The sequence below is a fragment of the Homo sapiens genome, chromosome 22 (genome assembly GCF_000001405.40).
Source record: "Homo sapiens chromosome 22, GRCh38.p14 Primary Assembly".
Classification (NCBI taxonomy): domain Eukaryota; kingdom Metazoa; phylum Chordata; class Mammalia; order Primates; family Hominidae; genus Homo; species Homo sapiens.
This window is the reverse complement of record NC_000022.11, coordinates 26,016,347-26,032,963: the sequence shown is the minus strand read 5'-3', so window position 1 is coordinate 26,032,963 and position 16,617 is coordinate 26,016,347. Positions and strand designations below refer to the sequence as shown.

General features: G+C 47.6%; 1 protein-coding gene across 13 annotated transcripts in view; it reads right to left on the bottom strand.

Annotated features, from left to right (window-relative positions):
* The window catches only part of MYO18B (myosin XVIIIB), a 321,660-nt gene that overhangs the window by 30,884 nt on the left and 274,159 nt on the right, over window positions 1-16,617 (bottom strand). For 12 of the 13 annotated variants that reach the window (XM_011530458.3, XM_017029014.2, XM_011530464.3 and 9 more), the window contains 2 exons: window positions 5,274-6,519; window positions 1,919-2,521 (listed from right to left, as the gene is read on the bottom strand). In XM_011530458.3, coding sequence (XP_011528760.1) covers window positions 5,286-6,519 — 1,234 coding nt within the window. In that variant the 3' untranslated portion in view covers window positions 1,919-2,521; window positions 5,274-5,285. Of the gene's footprint in view, window positions 1-1,918; window positions 2,522-5,273; window positions 6,520-16,617 lie in introns of those variants that run through there. The other variant, XM_011530461.3, reaches the window with a different exon arrangement.

The window sequence follows — 16,617 nt, the reverse complement described above, 5'->3', positions numbered from 1 at the left end:
TAAATTAATAGATTAAGTGATAATAATAATTAAATCACCACTTCCTTTTGCATTGTGTGTTACAGGCTGAATTGTGAACCCCTAAAACTCATGTGTTAAAAGTTCTAACCCCCCATACCTTACAATGTGACAGTGTTTGGAGACGGGACCTTTAAAAGGGTGATTAAAATCCCAGCACTTTGGGAGGCCAAGGCAGGTGGATCACCTGAGGTCGGGAGTTCAAGACCAGCCTGACCAACATGGAGAAACACTGTCTCTACTAAAAAAATGCAAAATTAGCTGGGCCTGGTGGTGCATGTCTGTAATCCCAGCTACTCAGGAGGCTGAGGCAAGAGAATTGCTTGAACCCGGGAGGCAGAGGTTGCAGTGAACTGAGATCACACCACTGCACTCCAGCCTGGGCCACAAGAGTGAAACTCCCATCTCAAAAAAAAAAAAAAAAAAAACAGGGTGATTAAAATCAGGCCATCAGGATAGGCCTTGTTTCAATATGACTGCTGTTCTTATAAGAGAAAAATGTGGACACAGAGAGACGCCAGAGGTGCAGCCACACAGAAGAAAGACCATGTGAAGACACAGCAAGAAAGCGACTATCTACAAGCCAAGGACAGAGGCCTTAGGAAAAACCACCCCTGCTGACACCTTGATTTCAGACTTCCTGCCTCCAGAAACATGAGGAAATAAATTTCTGTTGTTTAGGCCACCCAGGCGGTGGAATTTTGTTACAGCATCTCTAGCAAACTAATACAGTATGCTATACTTTCCCTTTCCCAGGTTTTATTAGAGTTTAGTAACTGTTGTTCCCATTACTGAGATGAGAAAACTGAGACCCAGCAAGGGAAGTGACTTGGCTAAGACTCCATGACTTGATGGATTTCACTGCAGAAAGCTTTGGGAGAACCTCGTGCAAGAGCCTGGGTCTTCTCCCATTCCCACCCCACACCTAAGTGTTGGCGAGCTTTTGGGTGGTGCCTCCTCTTTGCCAGGGCTTCTGACTCCGCAGAGGTCCTGGCCCCTTTCCCCGTGTGTCCCAGCACTCTCCAGTGACCCAGAGCCCTCCTGTGAATGGCAAGAGGTGGATGGTGGATTCAATAAGTGGGAGACTGTGTCTGCATCAGAGACAACAGGGTCCACTGTTCCACCAACGTGCTCCATCAGAGAGGCAGGAAGGTCTCCAGAGACGGTGAGGTCTCCAGTGAATTTCCCTCCTGCCCCATCCTCCTCCCTTGCCTCACTTCTACCCAGAGTCTCTAGTGAGGATGATCAGAGATGAGAGCTCCTCTTTTTGGAGTGACCTTACCAGTTATTATGGGTTGAATCGTGTGCCCACTTCCCCAGCCCCACTCAAAAAATGTTGAAGTTCTAACCCGCAGTACTTCATAAAGTGACTTAATTTAAAGGTAGGGTATTTACAGGGTAACCAAGTTAAAATAAGGTCATTAGGGCAGACCCTATCCAATATAAAATGGGGAAATCTGGATACAGACATGAACAGAAGATGAACTGAGGAGACACAGGGAGAAGACAGCCATCTACCAGCTACGGAGAGAGGCCCTCACAGCTCTCAGAAGGAATTTACCCAGCTGACCTTGAATCTGGACTTCAACCCTCCAGCTATGGTACTTTGTCACAGCAGCCCTAGCAAACACTAACACAACTGTGATCCAAATGGGAATTCCCTCCCACGGGTGGGAGCTATGATTGGCTACACCAGAGGGGTCCTGGGGATGGAGACAAATTTGGGGTAGGATATGGAGTCTATGCTAGTGGGAATTTAAATAAAGGCAGCATTTGCTACCTAAATGTGGGCACACATATGCTAGCTTCGCCTTGGTAAAAAGGGAATAAATTCAAGGTTCTTGAATGTTGATGTGGGTGCACATTTGTAGGATGCATATATATCAGTGTGTCGCATGCGTTCAGGGTGTGTGGGCTCATTTATTTGTTCTTTGGCTCATTCATTCATTCATCATTCATCAGTTTCTTGAATGCTTGTACACACTTATACATACACAGGATAGAGAAATGAATTGGCAAAGGAATATAATCGACAAGCATGGGGATTAAGGGAGCATGGAGGAGGAGCATTTGTTTCAGTTTGATATATCAGGAAAGACTTCCTGGAGGAAGTGAGCTGAAACTGGCCAAGTGAAGAGGAGGAGGAAGGTCATGGCATGTAGACATGTAGGAAGAGAAATAGAAGTATACACCCCAAACTACACACAGTTTGGGTTGGTTCTATTCTAACAGTCCTACCCCTATCTGCACCCCATCAACTCTCTGGAATCCCAGGTAGCAAGGCCATAGAGAAGGCACAGATGCCCAGGAGTCAACACTTTATTTTGTTCAGGCCAACCACACTGGGAGCCCAGCATCCCCGCAGGATATGCCTCTGTGGGCTCATCTCGCCTCTTGAGGGTGGCCATGCTGGCTGGCTCTGGCCACCGGGGAGGCCTGGCCAGTCTCTCTGTCTCCAAGTTATTGTAGAGTCGGGAAGTCTTCAAGGGCAGCTTCAAGGAGGCTGGAAGCAAACATAGGTCAGAGTTGATGAATGGGACAAAGGATGGGTAAGGTTTTTCTTTTTCTGGAGGCAGGGTCTCACTTTGTCACTCAGGCTAGTGTGCAGTGGTGCAATCATAGCTCACTGCAGCCTCCAGCTCCTGGGTTCAAGTGATCTTCCTGCTTCAGCCTCCCAAGTAGCTAGGATTACAGGTGCATGTCACTACACCCAGCTAATTTTTTATTTTGTATTTCTTGTAGAGGTGGGGACTCACTATGTTGCCCAGGCTGGTCTCAAACTCCTGGCCTCAAGTGATCCTCCTGCCTCAGCCTCCCAAAGAACTGGGATTATGGGCATGAGCCACTGTGCCTGGCCAGGAAGATGGGTACATTTTGATAGAGACAATGAATGGGGTGGAGGGCCTGGAATTCTGTATACCCAGGTGGCGTTACTGTAGCAACTCCACAGAAAGGGATGGCAGAGTGTAGGTGGCAGAAGGAGAAAAAGTTGGGATAGATTTCCCAAAGGTCCAAAAATTCCAAAGTAACCTGGCATTTACTGCATCCATGGGGTGCCATGCTCTATTCCAGGAATCTCTCATATTCTCATGAAATCCACAGCGTTACTTTAGGTAGTTGGTATTCTTACCCCTGTTTTCCAACTGAGGACACAGGGGCTTGGTGAGACTGTATCACTTGCCTAGGGTCCAATGGCTAGTTACAGGGCAGAACTGAGCTTTGGGGGGTCTTGTTTGGTTCCAAAGCCCACCATGCATTTGCATCGTTGGAGGTGTTGCATTGTATAGCTGAAAAACTAGCATCCTTGGAGAAGAACCTTGCTCAGGGTAGGGAAGGAGGACTTGAGTTTAAAACGGAATGGCAGAGACAAGATGTTCTGTGATGACTTCTGCTAAGGACTGTTCCCCTCATGGATGTGTGCCCTTTACTTGGCCTTTGAAACTGCTTTCTGTGTCCCCGAGAGCATAATAATGTAAATGAATATCAGATCTTTACTCGGTAATTGAGAGCAGAGAGAAGGCCATGTTAAGTCAAATTAGTTTGCTCTGATAGAGTCCAAACCTGTCTCCACGGAAGGGGCAATGGCTTTTTGATGGGCTGAGGCTGTCTCTCAAAGAAATAGAGGACGTGTGCCTCATTTGGGTCAAGGAGGCCTGGGGGTGGCAGCAGGTGCACCCTGAGAGCCATGTGCAGTCGCTGGACCATCAGAGCCTTGAGCTGCAGCAAGTTCTGAGATTCAGTGACTGGGAGATTTACGAAGGCTCATACGCTATCAGACAGCTCTAATTTCACTCATGAAGATGCCTGGAATGTGTCCCTAGGGAAAACTTTTAAAGATAAATGTAGGGATTCTAGAGCTGGAAACCCAATTATGCCCTGGTGATTCTGTACAAGTGACTTTAATCTTTCTGATACTCAGTCTGTCAACCTGGTAAATGGGAATAAATAACATTCACCACTGCTTGGGGATATCAGGAGTACTAAATGACTGTCTGATGTGTCCTCTCAATAAATGTAAGCCTTGGTTAGCAATGAATTTTTTTTTTTTTTTTTTTTTTGAGACGGAGTCTCGCTCTGTCGCCCAGGCTGGAGTGCAGTGGCGAGATCTCGGCTCACTGCAAGCTCCGCCTCCCGGGTTCATGCCATTTTCCTGCCTCAGCCTCCCCAGTAGCTGGGACTACAGGCACCCGCTACCACGCTCTGCTATTTTTTTTTAGTGGAGATGGGGTTTCACTGTGTTAGCCAGGATGGTCTCGATCTCCTGACCTCGTGATCCGCCCGCCTCGGCCTCCCAAAGTGCTGGGATTACAGGCGTGAGCCACCGCACCCGGCCTGAATTCCTCTTCTTACCTTGACTCCAGATGAGTGGCAGGATGAGTGCTAGGAGAGGGAGGAAGGGCAGCAAGTAGTTACTTATCCTGCATTGTTGCTCTGTGATTTTTGTACTTGTTCCCTCCCCCCTGAACCTAGGGCCTCAGTTTCTCTCCATATGCAATGCAAGTGGACTCCACTATTCTGAAGGTCTCTTCCAACTTGGCCCTTTGCATGTCTGTGATCCCACCACGGATCTTCTGTCATTATGTGGACAGAACGCCATCACAGCTCCTTCAAACCCAGGTGGAATGACATTAAGAAAAGAAAATGACAGTAGGGTGAGGTAACTTTAAACATCTGGCACCTTTTTTTTTTTTTTTTCCCTGAGACAGAGTTTTGCTCTTGTTTCCCAGGCTGGAGTGCAGTGGTGGCACCCTCAGCTCACTGCAACCTCTGCCTCCCTGGTTCAAGCGATTGTCCTGCCTCAGCCTCCTGAGTAGCTGGGATTACAGGCGCCCGTCAAGACACCTGGCTAATTTTTTGTATTTTTAGTAGAGACGAGGTTTCACCCTGTTGGCCAGTCTGGTCTCAAACTCCTGACCTTAGGTGATCCACCCGCCTTGGCCTCCCAAAGTGCTGGGATTACAGGCGTGAGCCACCGCGCCCGGCTACATCTGGCACCTTCTTTAGCGGTATCCCACAGGAACCTCTTACTTTCTGATGTGTCTGCATTTCAAAGTACAAGGAAGTAGAGGTACCCAGCAGAGGGGTTCTGAAAAGCTTTGCATCCATCAACACATGACTTCAGCTAAAACCTCTAAAAATCTTGGTCTCTAGAGAAATCGGTTGTGGCATTAAGGACAGTAGTGGCACCTGCTCTCCCCAAGGCTGCAAGGTGAACTCTCATTCCCCCAAGAATAGCCCCAGCCTGTTGCTTTTACCTGAACTGGTTCCTACTTCTGGAGGTATTTCTTCATTATGCTCGCAACATCGTCGTCTTTCCTCCCCGTCCCTGGCTCTCTCCGCTCGGGGGACGTTCGCTCGCCACCGTCACCCGCAAGTCGTGGGATTCCTGGTCGACTTTTGATGCTGTCAGCACTTTTGAAGGACACGATGGAGCCGGAGGATGAGGACGAGTCAGACAGGTGAGCGGGATCCTCCTTGGGCTCCGGGCTCTTCTTCAAAATGGTCTTGATCCCCGAGAGAAAGGAACGGTTAGCCTCTTCCGTTTCAAAGTGGATGCTTGAACGCTGTGAACCGTCTTGCCCACCTTTGGCTGATCCAGCCAAGGAGGTAGGTGTCTGGGGCTTCCGGATAGCTGGGAGGAAGTCATCGAAGTCCACTTTGGTCTTGCGTTCGTAGTCGAGGCTTGGGAGTTTCCAGCTGAATGGGTCACTGCCTAGAGGTTCCTCCATCAGGTGGGCAAACTGGCGGTTCTGGAAAACAAGCGGCTCCTTTCCAAGGTCTGGACAGCCCGCATCGTCCACAGAGGACTCCAGACACCGCCTCCGAGGACGCAGTGTGGGCGACAACAGCATGTCCCTGGGTGTGGTCGGAGAGCTCAGTTTTCTCCCCATGCTCGGTCTGGATTCTAAGAGGGACTCGCAGGAACTGAATTGGGTTTTCGACTTTTCGGGGAGTAGGGTTGTGCCCCCAACACCGTCTGAAGAGATGCATTTGAGGCTGGTGGACCTCAAGAGACCACCAGCGGCCCCTTCGATTTCCAGGGGTGACTTTGCCCCAACCCTCAGCGAGAGGTTTCCCTCGTCACTGCCAGCCCTGCCCCTCCTTAGTGTGGAGGCCCCAGTCGTCTGGTAAATGGGGAGAGTGGGCCAGTCCTCTAGGCCCAGCGTGGACCCCTGGCCTCTCTGGGCTCTCTTCCTCCGGAGCCCTTCCACGAACTCCGAGAGGGCCGCTGAAGGACTGGGCAGCTTTTCCCTCGACAGCGGGGATGTATTTGTACTCCGAGAAGCCAGGGGAGAGGAAGCAGGTTCTAATCTCTCTGTGGACTTTCTCTGGACGGCAAGCACTTCGCCGTCCCCAAAATGACAGTACTTTTGCCGGCGGACAAAGTGGGGAGAAACAGGCTTGTCTCCTGAGGTCTTGCTGTGGACATTGGTGGACCGGGCTCTGCTCAGTGCCAATGCCGACTGGGTCCTCTCAGTGTCCCCAGCCTCTTCGTTTATCCTGTGCCAAGAAGAAAAATGCAGTCTGTAGAAATTGTGCAATTCATACAATTTGTGCAATCGGTGTGAGAGCCCCTAAGCACAGGCACTAATATTATTTTTCTTTGGAAATACCATCCCTACCGCACTCTCAAATGAACCATATGATTTAATGTGCAAATTCAAGCCATGTAAATGATTTCTTGTTGCTTTCCGAATGCAATTTCTATCTATAATTAAACCCAGCTAAGTACATTTGAGTAGATTAAAACTGCAGCTAGGACGGATGAATTAGATTTATGAGGCATCATATCTGACATGATAGGACCTATCATCCCAGAGCTTACTGTGAAATAAGTAGTTTGCTTCTTCAAGACCGGAAGGGGACATGCAGTGGGCTGTTTGTTTATTTGGGGCCAAGCCTAGAGGACAGTCCCACCAAGTGGGGCTTCTGAGAGTCAAGACCCAAATATGTGTCTCCACGGGATACCCCATGACATCCCTGATTGTTTCATGGGGTGACGGTGTAGGTAAAATCTTTTTCCCCCAAAAGGGAAAGATTCACATGAAATCAACTTAAAACCAAGACTATACACAAGAGGACAGACGGTTTCTATTCTGGGACTACACCAGACGTGGTTTTTATGCAGAGGGAGTTTGTGGCAGCAGCGCCAAAAACACTTTGCCTCTGAAAAGTAGGAGGCTCACAGTGGGACCAAATTATAGACTGTAAAATAAATGGCATCATTCAAAGGAGAGAGACTGGAGTCCATCAACCTTTCCTTTAATAAATAAAATCTATTTGTCCTCTCTCTAAGAGAAACGACCCCATTCCCTCCCCTCACCAAAGTTATAATTTATTTTTTAAAAAAGTAAAAAAGTTGCCAAATGTCAGAGTGTTGGCACTGCAGATAAAGCCACTGTGGGCTCAGGCCTGAAGAGATGCTGAGGGCGATGCACACGCGGGTTTCCAATCATGGGGTCCCTGCCTCTGAGTGCTTTGTTGCTGGAACTGTAACAATCAGGACGATTGTAGGATTCAGAACTCTATGTATAAAGGGTGACTGAGATTCTGCTACAAGACTTTGAGGAAGACTTCTTGCTTACCCAGTTGGGTAACACCACTTCCACTCCTGATCACACAGGACAGTTTAGGAGAAATAGAACTGACCACAGTGACCCAATGGGCTTTTGAATCTGGGAAGGAAGCCAACCCAAAGCTCCCTTGAGGTGATGGCCATGGAAGGCACGGGAGGGAATGGCTGGGGTAGGAGAGCAGTGTCTTTCCCAGGGAAATAGGTGGGGGCTGAAATAGATTCAATGTTTGTCTCCCCCGAAAATTAATATGTTGACACCTAATCCTCAATATGATGATATTAGGAGGTGGGGCTTTTGGGAGGTGATTAGGTCACCAGGGTGGAGCCCTTGTAAATGAGATTAGTGCCCTTATAAAAGAGGCCCCAGAGGGCTCCCTCACCCCTTCCACTGTGTGATGACACAGTGAGATGGCAATCTATGAATCAGACAACAAATGTAACTGCCAGCACCTTGATCTTAGATTTCCCAGCCTCTAGAACTATGAGAAATACATTTCTGTTGTTTATAAGCCACCCAGTCTATGGTGTTCTTGTTATAGCAGCCAGAAGAGACTGAGACAGGCACCTAGACCCTGCCTTCCTGAGCGCCCCTGAGGACAGAGCTTCAGTGATCCCACAAACCTATCTCCTCCAGGTCTGGCAGGAGCTCCCCAGGCTGGGGGCCTGTGTGAGATCGCCATGGCAATGATGGGCCCGGCTAAAGGGCTTCATGAGGACAAGACATAGAGCTGGCTGTGATCATCTGCCTCTCCTTACTCCCTATGTCAGATGGGTGGAGGAGGGTTACAGCAGCGGTCTGGTGACGGTAAGACCTGGGTGTCAAGGTGGCAATGTGGAGGAGCTACCTCCTTTCTCTCTCTGACCATCACCCTCAATCCTTCTCCTGTGTGATCAGGCTTGCTATTCCTGCCCTCTTGCTCATGCTGCTCCAGGACGCTGGTCTCCTGGGATAGGCCAAGCCCTCCCTGCTTCTGGGTCTTGCAGGAGTGGTTCTACCCGGAGTACTCCTTCTACTCCCCGACCCCTAGTCATGGTGCCTTCCTCCTGGGGCAGCTGGGACAGTGAAAGAAACACCCTTGATACTGTCTCTGGCACCTAATTACCCAAATAATGGTTAGTGGTTATGATGAATAATTTATAACCAATAATAAATGGTTATTAATCATTAATAATTAAAGGCAATCAATATTACTACTATTTAATTTCTGAATCTCCAGAACCCAACCCCACACTGGACTCAATAAAAGCCTCAATTGAAGTTCAAAGAGGGATGCATAGAAGAATGAATGGGCAAGTGACCTTCTGTCTCACCGTAAGAAGAAAGGTTGGTTCCTATGTGCTAAAACAAAAGCCACACGTTTGCCCAGAGCAGCTCCCTCCTTTCCTATTTCTTGTCTGTTCCCAACATAGCTGGACATGGGCTGGAAGAGGAGATGGAGGGCTCTTTTGTGATTCCCTGAAGGTATATTTGTCAACTTCATTGCTTTGGAATCCCTCCTCGAATACACAGCAAGATGGCATTCACACGCCTGTATTTTTTTTCTTCCTTACTTTTTATTAATAAACAGCTTGGAGCTGCCAGGGGCAGTGGGCTGCCGCAGAACTGACAAAAGTCATTTCCATCCTGTCCTGGCCCTGAAAGGAGGCGGGTGTGATGAATGAGTGTCTTGGATGCTCTGTCTCATCCACCGCCTGCCACCTGAGGAGGGCAACATTGAGGGCTCCTGTCACTGAATCTCCCGGGACTCTGCCATCCTGCTCACCCTAGCTCCCACTGCCACTGCTGGCTGCGGACACCAGGGCAGGGCATGAAAACGGAGGGTGAAGAAGTCCCAGGAGGAGGAAGAGGAGGAGGGAGGAGGAGGGAGGAGGTAGAGGAGGAGGAGGAGGAGGGAGGAGGAAGATGAGCCAAAAACATAGGGGGGAAAAAAGGCATAAAAGTAGGAGGAAGGAGAATCACAGACCACAAGTCTGAACTGACAGTGTCTTGCTGACTCTCATTTCTGCACCTCCGGAACTGGCACTGAGCCCAGTATGTAGTAGATGCTCAGCAAATGCTGTCGAATTCAATCAAGGTAGATGAGAAAGAAGAGGTAGTCAGGATAAGAAAAGTGGAGGGAGGACAAAGAAATGTGGGAAGAAGAGAAGGAAGGCTAGAGCATGAAAGAAGAGGAGGCAGTTTAAACAGGAAAGAAGTTGAAATGAGATGGAGAGAAAGAGGAAGGAGACCCAGAAGGGCGGTGGTGATGGAGAAGAAGGAAGGAGACTTAGGCAAACGCAAGAAGGAGAGAGGGGAAACAGAGGCCTTTCAGGCCGGCAACTAAGGATCTGCCATCTTGGCTTTAACAAAAAGGCGAGATAGGCTGGGGTCCATGGCGAAGTAGCCAGCTGCCCAGAAATGGGGATCTGGAGGTCACAGTCTGTGAGTGCTGGCAATCAGGTACAGAGGCCATAGGTTTGCTGGGCCCAAGCCAGGAAGGTTCCCAGCTATGCTGGCACAGGGCAAGATCCACTCGCCTTCCCTGGGGCCCTTGAGGAGCAATGCCTTCTACAAGGCATGGAAGCCAAGATGTCCCAGCACAGCCACTCAGGCCTAGCCTGGCTGTCATGGGGTCTAATGTCTTGAGATTGGAGTGAGCTGAGTCCTACCTTTCTGAAATGGTCTGGTGCCTTTGAAACCTCAGCTGGTGAGCTTAAAACAGGAATACAAGCCACGTAGTGTAGACTCCTAGGGGGCTGGAGAGGAGCAGTAGGGGTCGAGTGAGGAGAGACAAGGAAGAGAGGGCAAGAAGCACGGCCAAGTGCTTCTTCCTGGCTTTCCCATGCAGAAATCCACCTACATCTCTGCAAGTGCTTTTTCTACTTCCTGTCTGCACCACCTCTCAAGGTATAAAGTTCCTTGCATCCACTTCTTTCTGTATAGAGACTGAAGAATTTAATCTGAATTCAGATGCCGTTTTGTAGGCTTTGGGATAAGGATCCCAAGTTCTGCTGAGTGAGGCTGGATGATCATCCCCATTCCTGTCCCAGCACTGGACACTTCAAACACATCCTGTCTGACTTCATCCGGGGACCAGTAAGAGTCTTTTTTTTTTTTTTCTAGCTGTCCTCACAGGACCAGGTCGGTGTGGCTCAGATGGAACTCTCCATCATCATGATGGAGGGATGTCAGATAATCAACATGTTACCGTGCCTGCTTCCCAGAGCCTGGGCCAGGGAGAGGGATGACGTATAGAAGGCTCTCAGAGTCACTATGAGGCAGGATAGGCAGGGGCACTGTTACTCTTCAAGGAGAGGCTCCAGAAAAGCCTTGGAGACTTCTTCTGCCCACCCTGTAGTCTGTCCAAAAAGGAATATCCTTCTGGTATACCTGCTATGGGAAAGAGCCAGAGGATAAGCATCCAGCCACAAAGATGCCGGGGCTGGTTCTATAACTTAGTGGATGAAATAGTCATTGGTCACAACAGCTACCCCTGACTAGATACCTACTGTGCGCCAGGTGCTGTGCTGGATACCAGGAATATAGGAGAGAGCAAACGGATGGCTCCTACCCTCATAGCCACCCTGAGAGATAGGGATTATGACCTCCAGGCACAGAGAGGCTGAGTAACCTCTGCAAGCACACACAGCTGGCAACCAAGTCTGGTTTCACCACTCACTAGCCATGTGACCTGGGGACCATTGCCTAACTTCTCTAACCCTCAGCTTCCTTAGCTGAAAAATGAGGGAAACTAGATTGGCCTTGCAATGCTGTGGAGATAAGAACTCCATGAGGGCAGGATTTTTATCTATTGTATTCACTGCTACCAGTGTCTATAGAATAATGTCTTAGGACACAGTAGGTGCTCAATGAATTTGTGTTGAGTGAGTGAGGGAAGCACCAGGGCCCTAACACATTGTAGGTGCTCCATAAACATGTGTTGGATACATGAGTGAATTGCCAGTCCTCAGGCACATAGTAGGTGCTCAATAAAATGTATGTTCAAGTTATGAATCATGCTCCAGTGCTTGTCACATACTAGGTTCCAATAAATACTGGACTGATTAAATGAACTGATGAATAAGGGTATTTATATGAAAATGCTGTAAGTATGGGTTGCTTCAAGTTATAGAAGTTTATTAGGTAAACTAGGACATGAAAACTCAGGAATACTGAAATTGCCACTCTTTCTAACCTGCAAGGCTAAAAGCAAAAAAAGAGCTTCAGATGCAGAGAGACCTGAGTTCAAATCCCAGCTCTGTCTATTCCAAGCCAGGTATTTTTTCTTTTCTTTATTTTTTGAGACGGAGTCTTGCTCTATCACCCAGGCTGGAGAGCAGTGGCACGATCATGGCTCACTGCAAACTCTGCCTCCAGGGTTCGAGTGATTCTCTTGCCTCCGCCTCCCGAGTAGCTGGGATTACAGGTGCACACCACCATGCCAGGCTAATTTTTGTATTTTTAGTAGAGATAGGGTTTCACCATGTTGGTCAGGATGGTCTCCAACTCCTGACCTCAAGTGATCCACCCACCTTGGCCTCCCAAACTGTTGGGATTACAGGCGTGAGTCACGGTGCCCGGGCCCCCAGTTATCTTTTGAAGCCTGAACTTGCACAGGTGTAAGAGTGAGAATGACACTGCCCTAGGTCCCAGGGTCTTGTTAGAAATGAGAGATGATGCATGCCATATGCATATTCAGTATTTAAGAGTGGAAGCCACTTCTACCTCCATTACCCCCAGTACTACCAATGAGGCAAAAGACACTACAGTTAAACTTCCATACATGACTTATTTATCTCAAAGTTAATCCTTTGACATAACAGTATAACATAAATTTTAAAATCTTAACCCTTGTCTGATTGCTTTTAATGACCTCTTTCATCAGTGCTAGAGAAGTCCCCAGATTGAGGACAGATGTTCAAGAGTAAACAATTCCTATGTATGAGCCTACTGTGAACAGCACAGAGAAGGGAAGTGGAGACTGAAGTGGTTGGTTCAGCCTCAGAACGAGCTAGTGTCTGAGACAGTGTCTCCTGCTTGGACCATACCCCTTCCCCTTTCAGATTATCTTATGAATGGGGCCCCATCATTTTATCTCTAGTGTCAGCCACAGAAGCAGATGCTCCATGAAAATCGGTGAAGAACAAAGAAGGAGGCACCTATATCTGCATGTATCGTATGCAGCATCTCATCAAGCTAAGAAGCATCACCGCATCAAAATCAGAGGCATCATCCCATCTTGCAAATGAGGAAACTGAGGCTCAGTGGTGAGAAAACATTTGCTCAAGGCCATACTGCTAAGTGGCAGGGCCTGCATTTGAACCCTGGTGGGCCAGATCTGAATCCCATTCTTCTTCTTCCACTACATCACACACCTACTGGGCAGAAGGCTGACGGGAAACTCAACCAGTTGAACTTACATCTACACATACATATTTTTCAAGATCCACTGCGATGTAATGAACCAAGAAAGTCCAAGTCAAGGAGATGCTGGATTTACTGTTATTAGACTTAATCACACAGCAAAACAAACAAAACATAATTCCCAGGACTGAGTGTGGTCATAGCCTGGGCCAATTGTAGCTACAGGAAACTCAATGCAGATTTAATGACACCGTGAATCATCCCCCAAAGCGTGCTGTCACCCCCCGTTCTTCATCCACTCCCTGAAATTAAAGAGGAAATTAAAAACATATTGATGTTCTTTAATACTGGTGAGGCCTGAGATGGGAAACCAGATGCTCTTTGAAGATGACCTGAATATTTGGTAACTGAGTCCAAAATAACAACAGAGAGTCTGTAACAAAAGTTGACATGGCACCCAGGACTATGCATTATGCAGGGAATGGGAGGCACTTACTAAGCCACTGTGGTGTGCAGGTAAATAGCACATCATTAGAGTTATCATGTATTATGCCTTTAGGCTTTGCAGACTTTACTCAAGTTTACGCTCACAACAGTCCTCTAAAGCAGATATTGCAATCTTCCCAAGTCAGAACTGAGGCTCAGAAAGAATCAGTAATTTGTCATGTAATAAGTGGGAGAACATGGATTTAAACCAAGGAGTCCTACCCCAGGCCCATGGCTCCCAACTGCTCTGCTCTACTGCCCTTTATCGTCCCATTTTATAAATGAGGAAGCTGAGGCTAAGACAGGCAAATGGGCTTGCTGAGAAGGAGCAGAGCTGAGACTCCCATGCTGGTCTGTCTACCTATAATGTTTTCAGCACATAGCAGCAGAAGATGGGCTGCCCTCCCCTCCTGGGGAGAGCAGTGTAGGTGTTGAGTCTGGAAAAAAACCATGGAGAAGGGTCAGCAATGCAAGAAATTCCAGAGAAACTGTGAAGCACAGACTATAAATGCAGCAAGAGATTGGCAAGGGAGACAGCAGTCAATACTGGTGCCTGGGTGCACAGCGTTCCTTTCTTTTTTTTGAGATGGAGTTTCATTCTTGTCACCCAGGCTGGAGTGCAATGGCACAATCTCGGCTCACTGCAACCTCTACCTCCCAGGTTCAAGCAATTCTCCTGCCTCAGCCTCCCAAGCAGCTGGGATTACAGGTGCTCGCCACCACCACATCCAGCTAATTTTTGTATTTTTAGTAGAGATGGGGTTTCACCATGTTGGCCAGGCTGGTCTCCAACTCCTGACCCCAAGTAATCCACCCACCTCAGCCTCCCAAAGTGCTAGGATTATGGGCGTGAGCAACCACGCCTGGCCATGCACAGCCTTTCTTGACGAGGTGGGTTGAGTCAGGCTTTGGAAGAAGGGTAGGATTTCAATGGCGGCGATGGCTCAAGAAAGACACTCCAAGCAAAAGCAGAAGATTCCTCCTATTGATTCTTAGCTTATTCAATCTGCAAAACCCTTGACCAGCAAGGGCTGATACCTAAATTGCACAGGCAAGAAAACTGAGGCTTAGGAAGCTCCCCCACCCCTAGCTGAGAGGGAAGTTCAAAGCAAGGAGGGTGCTGGGGTTTGGGGGAAGGATAGCCAAGGGAGCAGGGAAGTGAGGAGGAGGTGACATTAGCAGCAATCTGTCCCCATGCTGTCCCCATGCCTGGCCACTCCTGACATGGGGAATAGAGTCAGGAAACAGACACAGTGAATATCCTACATTCCTTACAATATGGCAGTTTTTATGAGACAAGGTCGCTCTCAAGGCTTGCTTGCTGTTCTCTCTGATGCTTAAGGTCGGGGCCGAGTCTTTGACAATTTTACAAACCAATCCATCGAGCTGCCCTGAGTGGACACCTGCCTGCATGCCTTATGTGACTCAGCAGAATTTGCCTTGACTTCACCTACACATTCTTACTGGCTACCAGGGACTAAGGTCAGTGATTTTTGCATAGAGTTGCCCATTCAAGTCACCCCTGGAACTCTACACCCCCTGCCCCCGCAAAAAAAAAAAAAAAAAAAAAAACAAAACAGTAAAATTGGAGCTGGGTGGTGATAAGGGGATCGTTCTCATTTAAAAGAGATGGAGGAGTAATGCAAGATGTTAATAATAAGAAAAACAGAACAGGGAAAAAGGATATATGGGAGCTCTCTATGCTTTCTGCTCTTTTTGTGAAAACCTAAAACAGCTTAAAACTAAAAAGTCTATTATTTTTCTTAAAAGAGACTAAAGAAGCATAATCAAATATAATGAGTATCATTCTTTAATAGAATCATTCTTTGAATCTTAGCATCATGCAATATATCTTTGTAGCACACCTGCACATGTACCCACTGCTTTTAAAAATTAAATTTGAAAAATAAATACATAAGGGGATAATATAAAAATACAGTGATACAGGACAGTTTTAGGATAATTGGGTAACATAAAAGTTGAGATCTTAGATAATGTTATGGATTTGTTAATTTTCCTAAGTGCGATACTGATACGTTAGAAAATGTCCTTCTTAGAAGAAAGATGCGAAACTATTTAAGGAGAGCTGTTGTGATGTTGTCAACTTGTTTTCATAAGGGGAAGGAAAGGAAAAGAGAAGGGAGAGGAGGAAGGAGGAGGGGAGGGAGGAAGGAAGGGAGGAAGGAAGGAAGGAAGGAAGAAGGAAAATGTGTTTAAACATAGATGTAGAGGAGGAGCTAAAGACAGAAATAAAGTCAATGTGGAAAATTCTAACAACTATCAAAGTAGAAGCTACGAGTTGATAGTGTCCTCTTTTGTTAACAAATTTAAAAAAAGAAGGAAGAAAGAAAAAGGAAGGAAGGAAGGAGCAAGGGAAGGAAAGAAGGAGGGAGGGAGGGAGTGGAAGGGAGGAAAGAAGGAAGGAAGGGAGTGAGTGAGTGAGGGAGGGAGGGAGAGGCACAGAGAGGAAGGAAGGAAGGAAGGAAGGAAGGAAGGAAGGAAGGAAGGAAGGAAATTAGCCTAATAAAAAAGAGTTAGGAGGGAGTCAGAGAGGAAGGAACTGACACTCTGCAGGTGATTCTCATAAACCATTATTCTATATTTAAAGAAAAAACACACAAACAAACATTTTCACTCACCCTTTAATGTTCAGCCCAACTGTAGCTTCCCCCAGGAAGCCTTTCCGCCCTCTGGCCTGGGCTGGGGCCTCTCCTGGCTCCCACAGCCTCCTGTGTCCCCCTCTGTACTGTGGTTGTCTATTTACTTATTTGTATCTCCCAGCAAGACTGGGAGATACTGGAGTTTCTGGAGTAGACCATGTCTTTCTTCTATGAATCCCCAGCATCAGGACTGCCTCAAAGAAAGCTTGTAGAATGGAAAGAATGAAGGAATGGAGGAACAGAAAGATGGGGGATTGTGGAACTGCAGAAAGAATGTGCAAAGGGCTGCCTCACCTGGGCTGAATAATTCAGAACCCAGTATCCCCACTCACTGGTCAGTCACATCCACTTCTCCTGGCTGAAAAACAAGATTCAAAACCCACTTCCAGTACACAATCTAAAGTGAGTTCTCCATATTTCTAACACCAAGCCAAGAGCCTTGTTTCATTTCTACAGGATGTGATCAATTTCTAGGATATCAAATTGAGAGGGAGGTGTGGGCCTCATCTGGTTTGAACCCCTCATTCTACACC